Source organism: Homo sapiens, chromosome 7, assembly GCF_000001405.40.
Source record: "Homo sapiens chromosome 7, GRCh38.p14 Primary Assembly".
NCBI classification, from domain to species: domain Eukaryota; kingdom Metazoa; phylum Chordata; class Mammalia; order Primates; family Hominidae; genus Homo; species Homo sapiens.
Window position 1 is genome coordinate 102,785,185 of NC_000007.14, and position 16,311 is coordinate 102,801,495.

General features: G+C 38.9%; 1 protein-coding gene and 1 pseudogene across 17 annotated transcripts in view; both read left to right on the forward strand.

The window, feature by feature from the left end:
* Window positions 1–16,311, forward strand: part of FAM185A (family with sequence similarity 185 member A) — a 101,725-nt gene that overhangs the window by 36,186 nt on the left and 49,228 nt on the right. For all 17 annotated transcript variants that reach the window (NR_146986.3, NR_146984.3, NR_146981.3 and 14 more), the window contains one exon: window positions 2,151–2,285. Coding sequence is in view for 3 of the 17 variants with exons in the window: in NM_001145268.2 (NP_001138740.2) it covers window positions 2,151–2,285 (135 nt within the window). In the remaining 14 variants the exon portion in view is untranslated. The remainder of the gene's footprint in view (window positions 1–2,150; window positions 2,286–16,311) is intronic.
* Window positions 13,806–14,477, forward strand: LOC100422696 (SNF2 related chromatin remodeling ATPase 5 pseudogene; annotated as a pseudogene).

Sequence of the window (16,311 nt, forward strand, 5' to 3'; positions counted from 1 at the left end):
CAAACAAATGGAAGAACATTCCATGCTCATGGGTAGGAAGAATCAATATCATGAAAATGGCCATACTGCCCAAGGTAATTTATAGATTCAATGCCATCCCCATCAAGCTACCAATGACTTTCTTCACAGAATTGGAAAAAACTACTTTAAAGTTCATATGGAACCAAAAAAGAGCCCGCATCGCCAAGTCAATCCTAAGCCAAAAGAACAAAGCTGGAGGCATCACGCTACCTGACTTCAAACTATACTACAAGGCTACAGTAACCAAAACAGCATGGTACTGGTACCAAAACAGAGATACAGATCAATGGAACAGAACAGAGCCCTCAGAAATAATGCTGCATATCTACAACCATCTGATCTTTGACAAACCTGACAAAAACAAGCAATGGGGAAAGGATTCCCTATTTAATAAATGGTGCTGGGAAAACTGGCTAGCCATATGTAGAAAGCTGAAACTGGATCCCTTCCTTATACCTTATACAAAAATTAATTCAAGATGGATTAAAGACTTAAACGTTAGACCTAAAACCATAAAATCCCTAGAAGAAGACCTAGGCAATACCATTCAGGACATAGGCATGGGCAAGGACTTCATGTCTAAAACACCAAAAGCAATGGCAACAAAAGCCAAAATTGACAAATGGGATCTAATTAAACTAAAGAGCTTCTGCACAGCAAAAGAAACTACCATCAGAGTGAACAGGCAACCTACAGAATGGGAGAAATTTTTTGCAATCTACTCTTCTGACAAAGGGCTCATATCCAGAAGGTACAATGAACTCAAACAAATTTACAAGAAAAAAACAAACAGCCCCATCAAAAAGTGGACAAAGGATATGAACAGACACTTCTCAAAAGAAGACATTTATGCAGCCAAAAGACACATGAAAAAATGCTCATCATCACTGGCCATCAGAGAAATGCAAATCAAAACCACAATGAGATACCATCTCACACCAGTTAGAATGGCGATCATTAAAAAGTCAGGAAACAACAGGTGCTGGAGAGGATGTGGAGAAATAGGAACACTTTTACACTGTTGGGTGGACTGTAAGCTAATTCAACCATTGTGGAAGTCAGTGTAGCGATTCCTCAGGGATCTTGAACTAGAAATACCATTTGACCCAGCAATCCCATTACTGGGTATATACCCAAAGGATTATAAATCATGCTGCTATAAAGACATGCACACGTATGTTTATCGTGGCACTATTCACAATAGCAAAGACTTGGAACCAACCCAAATGTCCAACAATGACAGACTGGATTAAGAAATGTGGCACATATACACCATGGGATACTATGCAGCCATAAAAAAGGATGAGTTCATGTCCTTCGTAGGGACATGGATGAAGCTGGAAACCATCATTCTCAGCAAACTATCGCAAGGACAAAAAACCAAACACCACATGTTCTCACTGATAGGTGGGAATTGAACAATGAGAACACATGGACACAGGAAGGGGAACATCACACACCGGGGCCTGTTGTGGGGTCAGGGCAGTGGGGAGGGATAGCATTAGGAGATATACCTAATGTTAAATGACAAGTTAATGGGTGCAGCACACCAACATGGCACATGTATACATATGTAACTAACCTGCACGTTGTGCACATGTACCCTAAAACTTAAAGTATAATAAAAAAAAAAAAACATGGGCTTTGTAATTATTGAGCTGAGTCTAGGTTCCAGCACGAGCACTAGTGGGAGCTTGAGCAAGTTCTTATCTATAAAATCAGGGCAATAATAATACCTCATAAAGTTAATATGGGGATTAAAACATAATGTAATTAGGGGTCTGGCTCATATTAAATGCTCAATGGCAAATCCTATCTATAAGCTACAGGTGTAGTAAATTACTCACTTTCTGGTGTTGGATGAGCTGTGTAGGACTATTGGCAAAAGAAGAACTAGTAGTTAATAATGTGCTAATAACCCATATTCTTTACAGAAGTTACTGTGAATGCCTTGAGAGTAAGGGAACTTTGGGCACCTGGGAATAAGGAAAAGGTTTAAATAAATACTGTATGCTGAGGAGTAAAAACAGTGTCTCAGGAGCAATGCTACCCTGTCAGTCAAATTTATAATAGACTCTGGTACTTTTGATTTCTTTATATTACTAAGCTCTCCATTATATTTATTACAGGTTCTATTATTGTCAAGGTCCCATCTTCACTTCAAGCTCATTTACAGTTATCAGGGAAAGAGGTTGATGTGAACTCAGAAGTCCATGTTCAGGAAATGGCTGAAGTTCGTAAAGATGATGTTGTAACAGTGACTGGTAAGGAGGCTGCATTTTGCTCTGTCAGATGAATAGCCATTCTCCATACATAAGTAGAAATGTGGTACACTTAACGGAAGTTTTAGCTTTTTTATATTTTTCCATTATTACGTCCTCATGTTTGACATCTTTTTTTCTTCTAGTTGCTTATCATTAATATGATGCAGACATTTTGTTTAAAAAGACCTCATTAAATCATTTAGGAACACTCATTAGTCCTGTCATTGGGTAAAATTGATTTTTAAATTTTCTAGAAGAGCTGTTTTCTAATTCTCGAACTTAAAAATAAACTGAATACATATATTATAATGCAAAATTTAAAACTAACTTCGTGTGACTGGAGTAAATCGGAATTTTGTTTGGTATGTACATTTTAAACTTGCTCTTTCAGAACAACAAATTCTCAGTCCCACAAATGTGAATCGTTTTTGTACATTTTTCATTATATCTGGCTACACTGGTGGCTGATACTATTTTTTTAAGGTTTGTCATTGGTTGGTTTTTTTGTTGTTTGAGACAGAGTCTTACTCTATTGCCCATACTGGAGTGCAGTGGCGTGATCTTGGCTCACTGCAACCTCCGCCTCCCGGGTTCAAACGATTCTGTTGCCTCACCCTCCTGAGTAGCTGGGACTACAGGCATGCACCACCATGCCCGGCTAATTTTTTTTTGTATTTGTAATAGAGACAGGGTTTTACCATGTTGGCCAGGCTGCTCTCAAATTCCTGACCTCAGGTGATCAGCCCACCTCAGCCTCCCAAAGTGCTGGGATTATAGGAATGAGCCACTGCGCCTGGCCAAGGTTTGTTGTTTTAATGAATAAAAAAATTAATGCTGGTGAAGTTTTCCTTTAAATTTTACCAGAATGGCATCAAGGAGGACATTGCAATTAGACCGTGTATAGGGATGAATGCTACAAGCTAAACCCATGAGATGCCAACTAGAAAAAGGAAGAATTGGGGAGTAGGGGAGGGTGGTCTTCATAAGATCAAATTTCAGTTTTAGGTATTCATTTTATATGTCGTGAAAATTAAGAAAGTTGTCTGTTAAAATTCATAGAATATTACCAAAAAACATAACAGGAATAAAAATAATACCTATACACTCCCAGATATAACTGCATGCCACCTAATGGGCAGACTCATAGTTAAGTGGCGAAAATTTGATGAAAATCTAAGTACAGTCATGCATCACTTAATGACAGAGATACATTCTGAGAAATGTGTTATTAGGCAATTTTGTTGTCATGTGAACATTACAGAGTGAACTTATACAAACCTAGATGGTACAGCCTACTATACACCGAGGCTGTGTAGTAGCCTATTATTCCTAGGCTACACCCTGTACAGCAGGCTACTGTACTGAAAACTGCAGGGAATTGTAACACAATGGTATTTGTATATCTATATATAGAAAAGGTACAGTAAAAATATGGCATAAAAGATAAAACATGGTACGCCTGTATAGGGCACTTACCATAAGTGGAGCTTGTAGGACTGGTAGTTGCTCTGAGTGAGTCAGTATGATGAGTGGTGAGTGCATGTGAAGGCCTAGGACATTACTACTATAGACTTTATAAACACTGTACAGTTAGGCTACACTAAATTTATTTTTAAGTTTCTTCAATAATAAATTAGCCTTAGTTTACTGTAACTTTTTTACTTTATTTATTCTAGAGATAGCTGCTTTCTCTGTTGCATAGACCGGAGTGCAATTATAGCTCACTATAAACTCAAACTCTGGGCTCAAGTGATCCTTCTGCCTCAGCCTCCCTAGTAGCTAGGTTATAGGTGTGTACTACCGTTCTCAGCTAATTTTTAAAAAGTTTTTAGCAGACACAAGGCCTTGCTATGTTTCCCAGGCTTGTCTTCAGCTCCTGGCCTTAAGTGATCCTCCCGCCTCAACTTCCCAAAGAACATTTTTACTTTATAAACTTACATTTTAAAAAATTTTTTGAGGCTGGGCATGGTGGCTTACGCCTGTAATCCCAGCACTTTGGGAGGCCAAGGCGGGCAGATCGTTTGAGGTCAGGAGTTCGAGACCAGCGTGACCAACATAGTGAAACCCCCATTTCTACTAAAATACAAAAATTAGCCGGGCGTGGTGGCGGGCGCCTGTAATCTCAGCTACTCAGGAGGCTGAGGAAAAAGAATCCCTTGAACCCAGGAGGCAGAGGGTGCAATGAGCCAAGATCGCGCCACTGCCCTCCAGTCTGAGCAAGAGCGAGACTCCCTCTCAGAAAAAAATAAAATAAAATAAAAAACTTTTTGACTCTTTTGTAATAATACTTAGCTTGAAACACAAACACACTTTACAGCTGTAGAGATATACTTGTCTATCTTTATTCTGTAAGCTTTTTTCTGTTTTTAAAATTGTTAATTTTTTTTAATTTTACTTTTTAAACTTTGTTAAAAACGAAGACACAAACACACACATTAGTCTAGGCTTTTACTGGGTAAAGAATGTCAGTATCACTTTCACCTCCACATCTTGTCCCACTGAAAGGCCTTCAGGGGAAATAACACACGTGGAGCTGTCATCTCCTGTGATGATAATGCCTTCTTCTGGAATACTTCCTGAAGGACTTACCTGAGGCTGTTGTATCGTAACTATTTTTTTTTTTAATAAGCAGAAGATATACACTCTAACGATAAAAAGTATAGTAAATACATAAATCAGTAACACAGTCATTTATTCTCATTATCAAGTATTATGAACTACACATAACATATGTGCTATACTTTTTTATGACAGTGGAGTGGGTTTGTTTACACCAGCATCACCACAAATGCAGGTAGTGCGTTGCATTTAAACAACCATTAGGATGGCTACGAAGTCACTAGGTGATAGGAGTTTTTTACCTCTATTATAATCTTATGGGACAACCATCATTTCTGTAGTTCATCGTTGACTGAAACATAATTATGCAGTGTGTGACTGGATATCAAATATAGTGAGAATCAACTTGTGATCTAATGCTTGAATTTGATAAGGAGCCAAGAGAGTTACCTATTTTTGGTCCCAATAATCTAAAACAATAATAAAGTTTGTTTAACTGTGCTCTGAATCATAGCATAACCAAAATTATTTGCATATGTAAGCATGTTTGAATTATAAGCTAAAGCTATTTTGTCATATTTTTATTCATTTATTCATAGAATCATATGCCTTTCTAAAATTTAGATTTAGTTTTAAAACTATTCTCACGACTTCAGTCATTATTTCTATGTACATAACTTCCAAGTCAATACATGCAGACCTGATCTCTATTGTTCTTGTGCATTTCTATTCCACTAAACCAGTGCCACCTAAAACTTAATGTTTAAAAACAAAATTATCTTCCCCTAGCCTACCTCCTCCTTCTCCTGTCTTTTCTATTTTTCTTTATTTGCTCAGTTACTCAACAAATGTTTGAGTCAACACTGCCGGAAACTAGGAGTGCAAGGGTAATATAAAGCATGGTCTCACTGCCTTCTGAGGAGCTTACATTCTAGTGAGGAAAGGCAAACCAGAGAATACAGTACAGTGGGATCAATGTTATAAACGTATGTACATTGTACTGTGAGAACACAGGGGTGAGGAAGTGAGAGAAGTCAAATATGGCCAAAGTATAGAGAGTAAAGGGGAAAGTGGCATAAAAGTAGGCTGGAGAGTTTGGGAGAGGTCAGATCATATGGGACAGTTTGGATTTTATATTAAGAGCATTGGGAAGCCCTTGGAAGGTTTTAACTTGGGGTTCACATAATCAGATTTTTGTGTTAGAAAGATCACTCTGAATGTTGAGTGGGGATAGATGAGAAAGAACAATGGTGGATGAAGGAGAAAAAAACAACTTTTGCTTTTTAGGAGGTTACTGCAGTAATTCAGCAGAAGGAGTACAGGGGCCTGGACTCCATAGTGAGCTATCTTAAACTCAGCAAATAAATAGGCCTTCAGTAACTTTTGCTTGAATATAAAGACGAATGAATGCTATGAGGAAGATGCATGCTTACCTCATTGGTTATTATGAAGCGCCTTAGCCTATTGAGTTCTTTTTGTGTGTTACTTGTTATTATGGCTTATACTCCGGCCCCACCTCCTGAACCAGGAAGGGCCAAATCGCAGAATGATGAGTTTATTTCCTGTTCACAGTGGAAGAATCTAGGTACTGATCAAGCATCGTTTTGCAGAGTAGCACAGACTACCCTATGAGGTTGGTCCCCAGATGGATCTGTATGTTGTCTCTGATAGCAAATTAAATCCATTAAAGTAATAATGGACCTCAGGTGAAGAGAGCAGCAGTCTCTGGAGGGAGCTGTGAGTATGAACAGGTGATTGGGTTTAAGAGAAACTTCCATATTTCATTTTGGTTTTAAAACTGTTTGGTACCCAGTCAGCCACAGGCCTTATGTATCAACTGGATGAAATAATTTAAGAGGCCTAGAAAATCAGGGCAGATTGCTTTTTTCTGTGGAGATTTCCAATCTGAAACCAAATTTTGGAAATAATGAGCAGCTTTATATGTGAGCTATTATTATAGGCAGCTGAGCTCAGCTCATCTTGGCCTTCCTCATAGAGCCCATGAGGGATAAAAATAGAAATACTCTTATTGCTAAAAGCCTGGATTTTATCTGCAGCATGACTTCTGGATAATCTCTGCAAGAAGCCATGCCAGTAAAATTATTCCCTTAGGTTCCAGCTTCCCACAGGGTTTTGATGTGTCAGCTCTATAATTTTATTTGATTTCCTGCTCCATGGTTTCCTTTGCTATTGCTGTCACTGATAAATAACTCAGGTGTATAATTCCTACCATGATTTACACGTATTATGTGCTATTCTGAGGTCAAAAGGAAACCTGAGACTCTCAGGCTGAAACATTTACCTACTAAAAAGCTATGCACAAGTGTGTATTGGGGCTGCATTCTATAATCTTCATGAGAGTCTTGATTCTAAGTTTTGTCCTCTACCCATGTGTGGCAAATTTAACATGTTGTGAGTGGCTTAGGTAAGATGCTTCTAATAAGTTGGCTTCTCTATTAGGTTTTAGACTTGGTTCATCAACTTAGATATGAAACTTGACTGTGGTAAACATCAAGTCTCCAAGCCCAGGTATGCATGTTGTACAAAGTCCTTTGGTCTTTACAACTCCACAATTTAGATGTTTAAATGTTCAAAGAATATTAGAGGTAAAGTGCGTTGCCAGTGAACGGATTGGTGTTTGTCATTGTCTGGATAGTAGGGAAGCTAGCACTACTGGGTTTACCTCATTTTAGTAAAACTGGAAATATAAAGCATATACAACATAAATTCATTTGGGATAAAAATAAACCACCAAGTCAGAAAAGAGTTCTTAGCTTGTCTAAAGGACAGAGGGTAATAACATACAATGGAATTGTTATTTATAGTGGAATACTCGTTCATGGGTTGGAAGAGGTTGAAATGGGACTAAGCTCATAAGATGCCACTTTAAAAATCTAGAGACACTGTTTTCTCTCCAAATCGGGAAAAATCCAGTCTTTTGATATGACTAACTCTTGGAAATAGCTCTGATTTTAGAACCCACTAAAGTTTTTGGTTTTTCAAAGCTTAGAGCACATGAATTTGTCAGCAATGTATATATATTTCAGGACCAGATGGAAGAAATTCAATAACAGAATGAAGAATGCTCTAAGGCTTATAGGTATCTGCTTAAAAATACTTTGACAGGGAGTTAATGTAGGAACTGTTTTCACGTCATAGTGCTTTTATGGTGTTTTTTTTTTGTTGTTGTTGTTGTTTTTTGAGACGGAGTCTCTCTCTATCACCCAGGCTGGAGTGCAGTGGCACCATCTCGGCTCACTGCAACCTCTGCCTCCCGGGTTCCAGGGGTTCTTCTGCCTCAGCCTCCTGAGTAGCTGGGACTACAGGCGCCCGCCACCATGCCCGGCTAATTTTTGTATTTTTAGTAGAGACAGGGTTTCACCATATTGGCCAGGCTGGTCTCACCTCCTGACCTCGTGATCCGCCCACCTCGGCCTCCCAAAGTGCTGGGATTACAGGCGTGAGCCACTGCATCCGGCCGCTTTTATGGTGTTTTTATTTCCCCACCTTTTTGTTAAAGAATAAGATCTTGAGAGTATCATGGGTAATCAGATGTCAATGTTGTTAATGTTTGCCCCAAAAAAGAAGATCAGGTTTTCTTTCCATTCATCTGCAAACTTTATCTGTAAACACCATATAGTAAATATGTTAGACTTAGCAGATTACATATGGACTCTGTTGCATATATTTTTTTGTTTTTAAATAACCCTTTAAAAATGTAAAAGCCCGGCCGGGCACGGTCGCTCACGCCTGTAATCCCAGCACTTTGGGAAGCCGAGGTGGGTGGATCACCTAAGGTCAGGAGTTAGAGACCAGCCTGGCCAACATGGCGAAACCCTGTCTCTACTAAACATACAAAAATTAGCTGGGCGTGGTGGCGGGTGCCTGAAATCCCAGCTACTCGGGAGGCTAAGGCAGGGAGAATTGCTTGAACCCAGGAGGCAGAGATTGCAGTGAGCCGAGATCGTGCCACTGGACTCCAGCCTGGGTGACAGAGACTCTGTCTCAAAAAAAAAAAAAAAAAAAAAAAAGTAAAAGCCCTTCTTAGCTTTCAGGGCATACAAAAACAGGCCCCTGGCCAGATTTGGCCTGTGAGCTATAGTTTGCTGATCCCTAGACTAGAGTTCAAAGAGCAGGCCCCAATCTCAGAGCATTATGAGTTCTGTTTGTGATGCCTGTGGGGTTTTGTTTTATTATTGTCTTTGTATTTATTTTGGTCATTCAAGAAATATTAAACCATAGCCAAATCCTTATCCTAAGTGAACTATCCCCAGTAGTGAAGAAAACATGATTCGTGCACACAAAAGTTTAATCTTGTAACTTTTAAGAAACAGTGCAACCATAGAAGATATATGATGGCAAAAAAATACACAAAAAGATATTTACCATCACTAGCCATTAGGGAAATGCACATTAAAACCAGAATAAAATACTACATACTTACTAGAATGGCAAAAATTAAAAATACCGATTATTCAAATGCTGGCAAGTGTGCAGAGAAACTGGATCTCTTCTACATTACTGGTGGGAATGTAAAATGATACAGCTACTCTATAACTCAGTCTGGCAGTTTCTTAAAAAAATAGAAAAAAAAAGAAACTACCATTAATCACCTAGCATTTATATTCCTGGGCATTTATCCTGGGGAAATGTAACTTATGTTCACACAAAAACCTGTACACAAATGTTCATAGCTTTATTTGTAATAGCCAAAAAACTGGAAATGACTTAAATATCCTTCCATGACTGAATGTTCATATGACTCATGGTATGTCCACATAAGGTAATTCACCGACAAAGGGAACAATCTGTTGATGTAAACAACTTGAAGGGAATTTAAGGGCATTATTCTGAGTGAAAAAAGCCAATCTCAAAATGGTCCATACTCTATGATTCCATTTATATAACATTCTTGAAACAACAAAATTAAAGATGTAGAGAATAGACAAGTGGTTGCCATAGGTTAGGGAAGGAGAAGGACAGTATGACTTTAAAGGGACATGACAAGGGACTTCCTTTGTAGTGACAGAACAGTTCCATATCTTGATTAAAATGATGGTTATATATGAATCTATATATGTGATAGATAAAATGTCATGAGTATATACAAAGACATACCCGAAAAATGAATGCATGTAAAAACTGGTGAAATCTGAGTAAGGTCTATAGTCCAGTTAATTTGCCAGCTAATTTCCTGGTTTTGATAGTGCAGTATAGTTATAGAAGCTGTCACCATTAGGGGAACTGAGTGATGGGTATACAGAACCTCTCTCTACTGTTTTTGTAACTTCTTGTCAGTATGAAATTATTTCAAAATAAGTTAAAAAAGAGGGTGGAAAGAAGGCAGGGAGAGGGAGAAAGAAAAATAATGAAGTCTTCTGGGCAGGATGGAGTTAAAGGGTCTGACTTACCTTCCCACCTGAAACAATGACAAAAAAATTTAAAAATTAAGCAGATACAGGAAACAAACAAGATGAGTCTTGCTTACTGCCTTGAGAGAGTCTCCAGGCTCCAGTACGGGAAAAGGGAACTGCTCTTGAGTCTAGAACACTCCCTGAGTTAGGGAGATCAAGATGAGAGTCGATAAAGATCAAGACAGGGTTCACAGGACAAAGTACCAGAGGGAATAGAACCTGGTGCTCACACAGGTCCAGGAATAATGCCTGTTCTTCCCACCAGACTGGAAAGAAAATCATAACTCATGGGGCATTGGGTAGAGCATTTAGTAGTGGGAAACAATCAGTCTTAGGCTGAGCACCACTCTATAATTGCCTAACAAATTATAAAAGCAAGAGATGAAAGGCTTAAACTATTTCCAAGTAACTTAACTGCATCCTTGAGTGAAGCTCAAGATTTACAGGAATACAAAAATATCCAGCACCCAACAAAGTAAAATTCACAATGTTGTAACCCACCCAACAGGTTCACCTTGCCCACTGCCTAGAAAGAGCCAACTTATCAAGACGGGAATTGCAGTAGAGAAAGAGAAATTCACGCAGAGCTGGCTATGCAGGAGACCAGTTTTATTATTACTTAAATCAGTCTCCCTGAGAATCTGACGATCTGAGTTTTTAAGGATAATTTGATAGGGGGCCAGTGAGTTAGGAGTTTTGATTAGTCAGTCTGAGATGAAATCATAGGGAGTCAGAGCTGTCCTTTTGTGTTGAGTCAGTTCCTGACTGGGGGCCACAAGACCAGATGAGCCAGCTTATCAATCTGGGTTATGCCAGCTGATCGACTGAGTTTAGGGTCTGCAAAATATCTCAAGCACTGATCTTAGGTTTTACAATAGTGATGTTATCCGCAGGAGCAATTTGGGGAGGTTTAGCAATTTGGGCAGCTTCCAGCTGCATGACTCCTAAACCACAATTTCTAATCTTTTGGCTAATTTGTTGTCCTGAAAAGGGAGTCTAGTCCCCAGGCGGGAATGGGGTTTGTTTGGGAAATGGCTGTTATTGTCTTGGTTTCAAAGCTAAACTATAAACTAAGTTCCTCCCAAAAGTTAGTTCAGCCTGTACCTAGAAATGAACAAGGACAGCTTGGTGATTAGAAGCAAGATGGAGCTGGTTATGTCAGATCTCTTTCACTGTAATAATTTTCTCAGTTATGATTTTTGCAGAGGTGGTTTCAATGTCTAGCATTGAATCAAAGATCATCAGACATGCAAAGAGCAAAAAAACCCATGAGTTATAATGAAGAGAATAATTGAAACTAACCCAAAACTGATACAGATGACCGAATTAGCAGAGAAGGAAAATAAAAGTTATTATAACTGTATTGCACTTGTTCGAACACTTAAGACATGGAAGATATAAAAAGAAGACCAAAATTGAATTTCTATAAATGAAAACTACAGTGTCTGAGATGAAAAATACAATGGATGAGATTAGACATTACAGAAGAAAAGATTTGAGGAAGAAACTATTACTATTATTTTTTGGGAAGAACTGATTAATTGTATACTTCCTCAGTATACTCTTGCCTAGAGTACTGTTGACTTTATTATTATTGCAAGTATTTGAGAGGAAATTTAGTGGATAGGCATCATTAAAACTAGCTCAAAAATATTTTTTTATCTGGAAGATTTCTTGTCAAGGTATCTTGGGTTACACTTTTGTTGAGAGAAGATTGTAAAAAGTTAAAGAACGTTGAGGCTGGGCACGGTGGCTCACGCCTGTAATCCCAGCACTTTGGGAGGCCGAGGCGGGCAGATCATGAGGTCAGGAGATAGAGACCATACTGGCTAACATGGTGAAACCCCATTTCTACTAAAAATACAAAAAAATTAGCTGGGTGTGGTGGCACGCGGCTGTAGTCCCAGCTACTCGGGAGGCTGAGGCAGGAGGCTGAGGGAGGAGAATCATTTGAACTTGGGAGGCGGAGGTTGCAGTAAGCCGAGATCGCACCACTGCACTCCAGCCTGAGTGACACAGCGAGACTCCGTCTCAAAAAACAAACAAAAAAGAACGTTGACAAAATTAAAATATTTTGTTATGGAATTGTATGTGGTGTTAAAGGTATTGTTTGTGAAATGTATGTGTTAAAAATAATAAAATTTCAGAGTAATTACTTTCATGTTGTTTCATAGTGTATGATTTATTTTCCTAGTGAGTTGGTAAGCTTTGTGAGAGCACTGGTGTGTCTTTTCACATCTTTTGAACCTCCCTAATATACTTAGCATGGCACTTCCTATAGTGGGTGGCCCAAAGTGTTTGTAGTATAAAAGAGAATCCTCCAACCCTGATGCACTGAAGTTTAATCTGCTATTATTAATAATAAGGCAGCAGCAGAAGTATCCCTCTGAACCAAATGTACACAAACAAAGAATGTTACAGGGTTAGAAGTGGGAGTGGGGAGGGAGGCAGGAAAAAGCTCACCTTACCAAGAAGCTTGTTAATCCTATTTTTAAACAAGACAATTCTGCAAGTTACTTCCTGGAGCCCTGTCTTTGTTGATATTTAGTGCAGAATAGATCAGGTATATTTTGGGTTAAATAAAAAGAACATAGAGATTCATATATTTGGGTACATTGGGGCAGGAGTTTCGAGAGCAAATTACAGAGTTAAACACATGTCCTAGGAAGCCTTTCCTCCCACTTAGTGGAAGCCACAGTGTATAGGGATAGAGTAGTCATTTTCCCATTTCTTGGTCAAAGAAACAGTGTGTGATTTTAATTGGCAAAGGGAAGTAAATAAGGAGGAAGGCTTTTGAAACCCCAAATTCCAATATATGTTGAAAAACTTTTGTAGGAAGGAATTTATAAACTTTACAAATTATTAATAGAATAGAGTCTCCACAGATTCAGGTCAAAGTACAAAGAAGTTTCAGTAAATTACTTATTGGCAAGATAGAGAAAGCTATTTTCAAGCAACCTAGATGGAATTTTATAAACTGTCCTCCCTTTTGAGTATTGTCTCTAAGCTGAAATTGCTTGTGTGTTCTTTTTCTTGAGAGCAGTAACACTGTGCTTGGCCTCTATTGCTGCAAAAGGAAATAGGTTGAAGGCTTTTCACTCCATAAGTAAGAAATATATTATTGGGGAGGTGATAAATAATATATTAAGGAAGAGATCTCAGATATGTAGAAAAGCCTTACTATTATTGATGCTTTATTATTGGTGCTAAATGGTATTTAAAAAGAAGAAAAAGTTGAAAAAACAAAAATTTCAGGATTTCCTGTTCTTTCCTCCACATTTATTTTATTTTATTTTTAAATTTTATTTATTTATTTTATTTTGAGACAGAGTTTCACTATTGTTGCCCAGACTGGAGTGCAATGGCACAATCTCGGCTCACTGCAACCTCTGCCTCCTAGGTTCAAGCAATTCTCCTGCCTCAGCCTCCCAAGTAGCTGGGATTACAGGCACCTGCCACCACGCCCAGCTAATTTTTGTATTTTTGGCAGAGATGGGGTTTCACCATGTTGGCCAGGCTGGTCTCAAACTCCTGACGTCAGGTGATCCGCCCGCCCTGACCTCCCAAAGTGCTGGGATTACAGGCGTGAGCCACCGCATCTGGCCCAACATTTATTTTAATTACTAGAAAAAGAAACTCTGTATTACAGAAAAGCAAATGGGTGCAAGGTACCGCAAAATCACGACCTACCAAATGCAGCATAGGCACAGAAAAAGAACAGTTTAAATAAGCGGAACCCCTTATTGATGAAGAGTTAGAGTTAACACAGGGATTTACCAATTGAACTCAGAGATTTTAACCAGCTTATCAAAGCTAATTAAAATGGGGTTGTGATATTGAAAATATAGCAAGAGAAGAAGAGGGAAAAAGCTTACGGGAGGTCCTTGAATACTCAACTGTGTTCTGGGAAAAACGCAATGAGCTCCAGGACATAGACAAGATTATGGCTCAGAGTGAAAGGGAGAGATAAGAATTCAGAGAATAATTTGCATCAGAAAAGCACCTGACAAAAAGATCAGATGGTACAAAGCATCTAGCACCTTTTCTTCAGCTGAGGATATCATGGTACTATTATAACAGAGGGAAAAACTGTACTGAGGAAGAGGATCATTCTGTATTTTGTGTGCTTGGATTCAACAAGGAAAATATTTGTGATGAAATGCAATAGTGTAATCACAACTCTCCTCAGTTCAGATTTTGTTATTGAACCAAACGGAGGTCCACTCGCCCAGCGTAATAAGACTACGTATCTATACCATATCTAAACGAAGGCTTGTAGCAAGAGAAGGGAAAGTGTTTGTTTGTAGGGACCAAGCAAGGAGAATCAGGCAGATTATACTTAACACTTGAACTCTCAGATGGCTTATAGGTAAGGGTTTTTAAAGGTGGAGAGAGCCCAGTGGCCGGGAGTGGCAAGACTAGATTGCGGCTCTGACTCTGACGGACAGAGCAGCGTGTAGAGGCTCGCGTCATGAATTTTAGCTCCAGAACAACCATAGGAATAAATCAGGAAACCTAAGAGGACCCACAGACCCTCTGAAGGAAGCAGATTGCTCCTACAGGACCCAAGAGACACCCGAAATACTATGCTGGTATCCATGGCTGAGAGACCCATAGACGGTTCACATCACAGGAATCTGTGCAGACAACTCCCGTACCAGCCCAGAGCCTGGTAGACTTGCTGGGTGGCTAGATCAGAAGAGAGATAACAATCACCACAGCTCGGCTCTCAGGAAGCCACATCCATAGAAAAAGGGGGATGGTATTACATCAAGAGAACACCCCATGGGACAAAATCTCAACAGCCTTCAGCCCTAGCCCTTCCCTCTGACAGAGCCTACCCAAATGAGAAGGAACCAGAAAACTGTGTTGGTTTTCTGACAAAACAAGGCTCTTTAACAACCCCGCGAAAATCACACTAGCTCACCAGCAATGGATCCAAACCAAGAAGAAATCCCTGATTTACCTGAAAAAGCATTCAGGAGATTAGTTATTAAGCTAACCAGGGAGGGACCAGAGAAAGACGAAGCCCAATATAACGAAATCCAAAAAATGGTACAATAAGTGAAGGGAGAAATATTCAATGAAATAGATAGCATAAATAAAAACAATAAAAACTTCAGGAAACAGACACACTTATAGAAATGCAAAATGCTCTGGAAAGTCTCAGCAATAGAATTGAATAAGTAGAAGAGAGAAAATAAGAGCTCGAAGACAAGGTCTTTGAATTAACCCAATCCAACAAAGAAAAAAGAAGAAAATATGAACAAAGCCTCCAAGACATCTGGGAGTATGTTAAATGACCAAATCTAAGAATAATTGGTGTTCCTGAGGAAGAAGAGAAATCTAAAAGCTTGGAAAACATATTTGGGGGAATAACTGAGGAAAACTTCCCTGGCCTTGCTAGAGACCTAGACATCCAAATACAAGAAGCACAAAGGACACCTGGGAAATGCATCGCAAAAAGATCTTCTCGTAGGCACATTGACATCAGGTTATCCAAAGTTGAGACAAAAGAAAGAATCTAAACTGTGAGACAAAAGCACCAGGTAACCGATAAAGGAAAACCTATCAGATTAACAGCAGATTTTCAGCAGAAACCCTAGAAGCTAGAAGGGATTGGGGCCCATCTTCAGCCTTCTCAAACGAAACAATTATCAGCCAAGAATTTTGTATCCAGCGAAACTAGGCATTGTGTATGAAAGATACAGTCTTTTTCAGACAAACAAATGCTGAGAGAATTCACCACTACCAAGCCACCACTACAAGAACTGCTAAAAGGAGCTCTAAATCTTAAAACAAATCCTGGAAACACATCAAAACAGAACCTCTTTAAGACATAAATCTCACAGGACCTATAAAACAAAAATACAATTTAAAAAAAAAACAAAAAAACAAAGTACACAGGCAACAAATAAAATGACAAATGGAATGCTACCTCATATCTCAATACTAACATCGAATGTAAATGGCCTAAATGCTCCACTTAAAAGATAAGAACTGCAGAATGGATAAGAATTCACCAACCAACTATCTACTGCTTGAAGAGACTC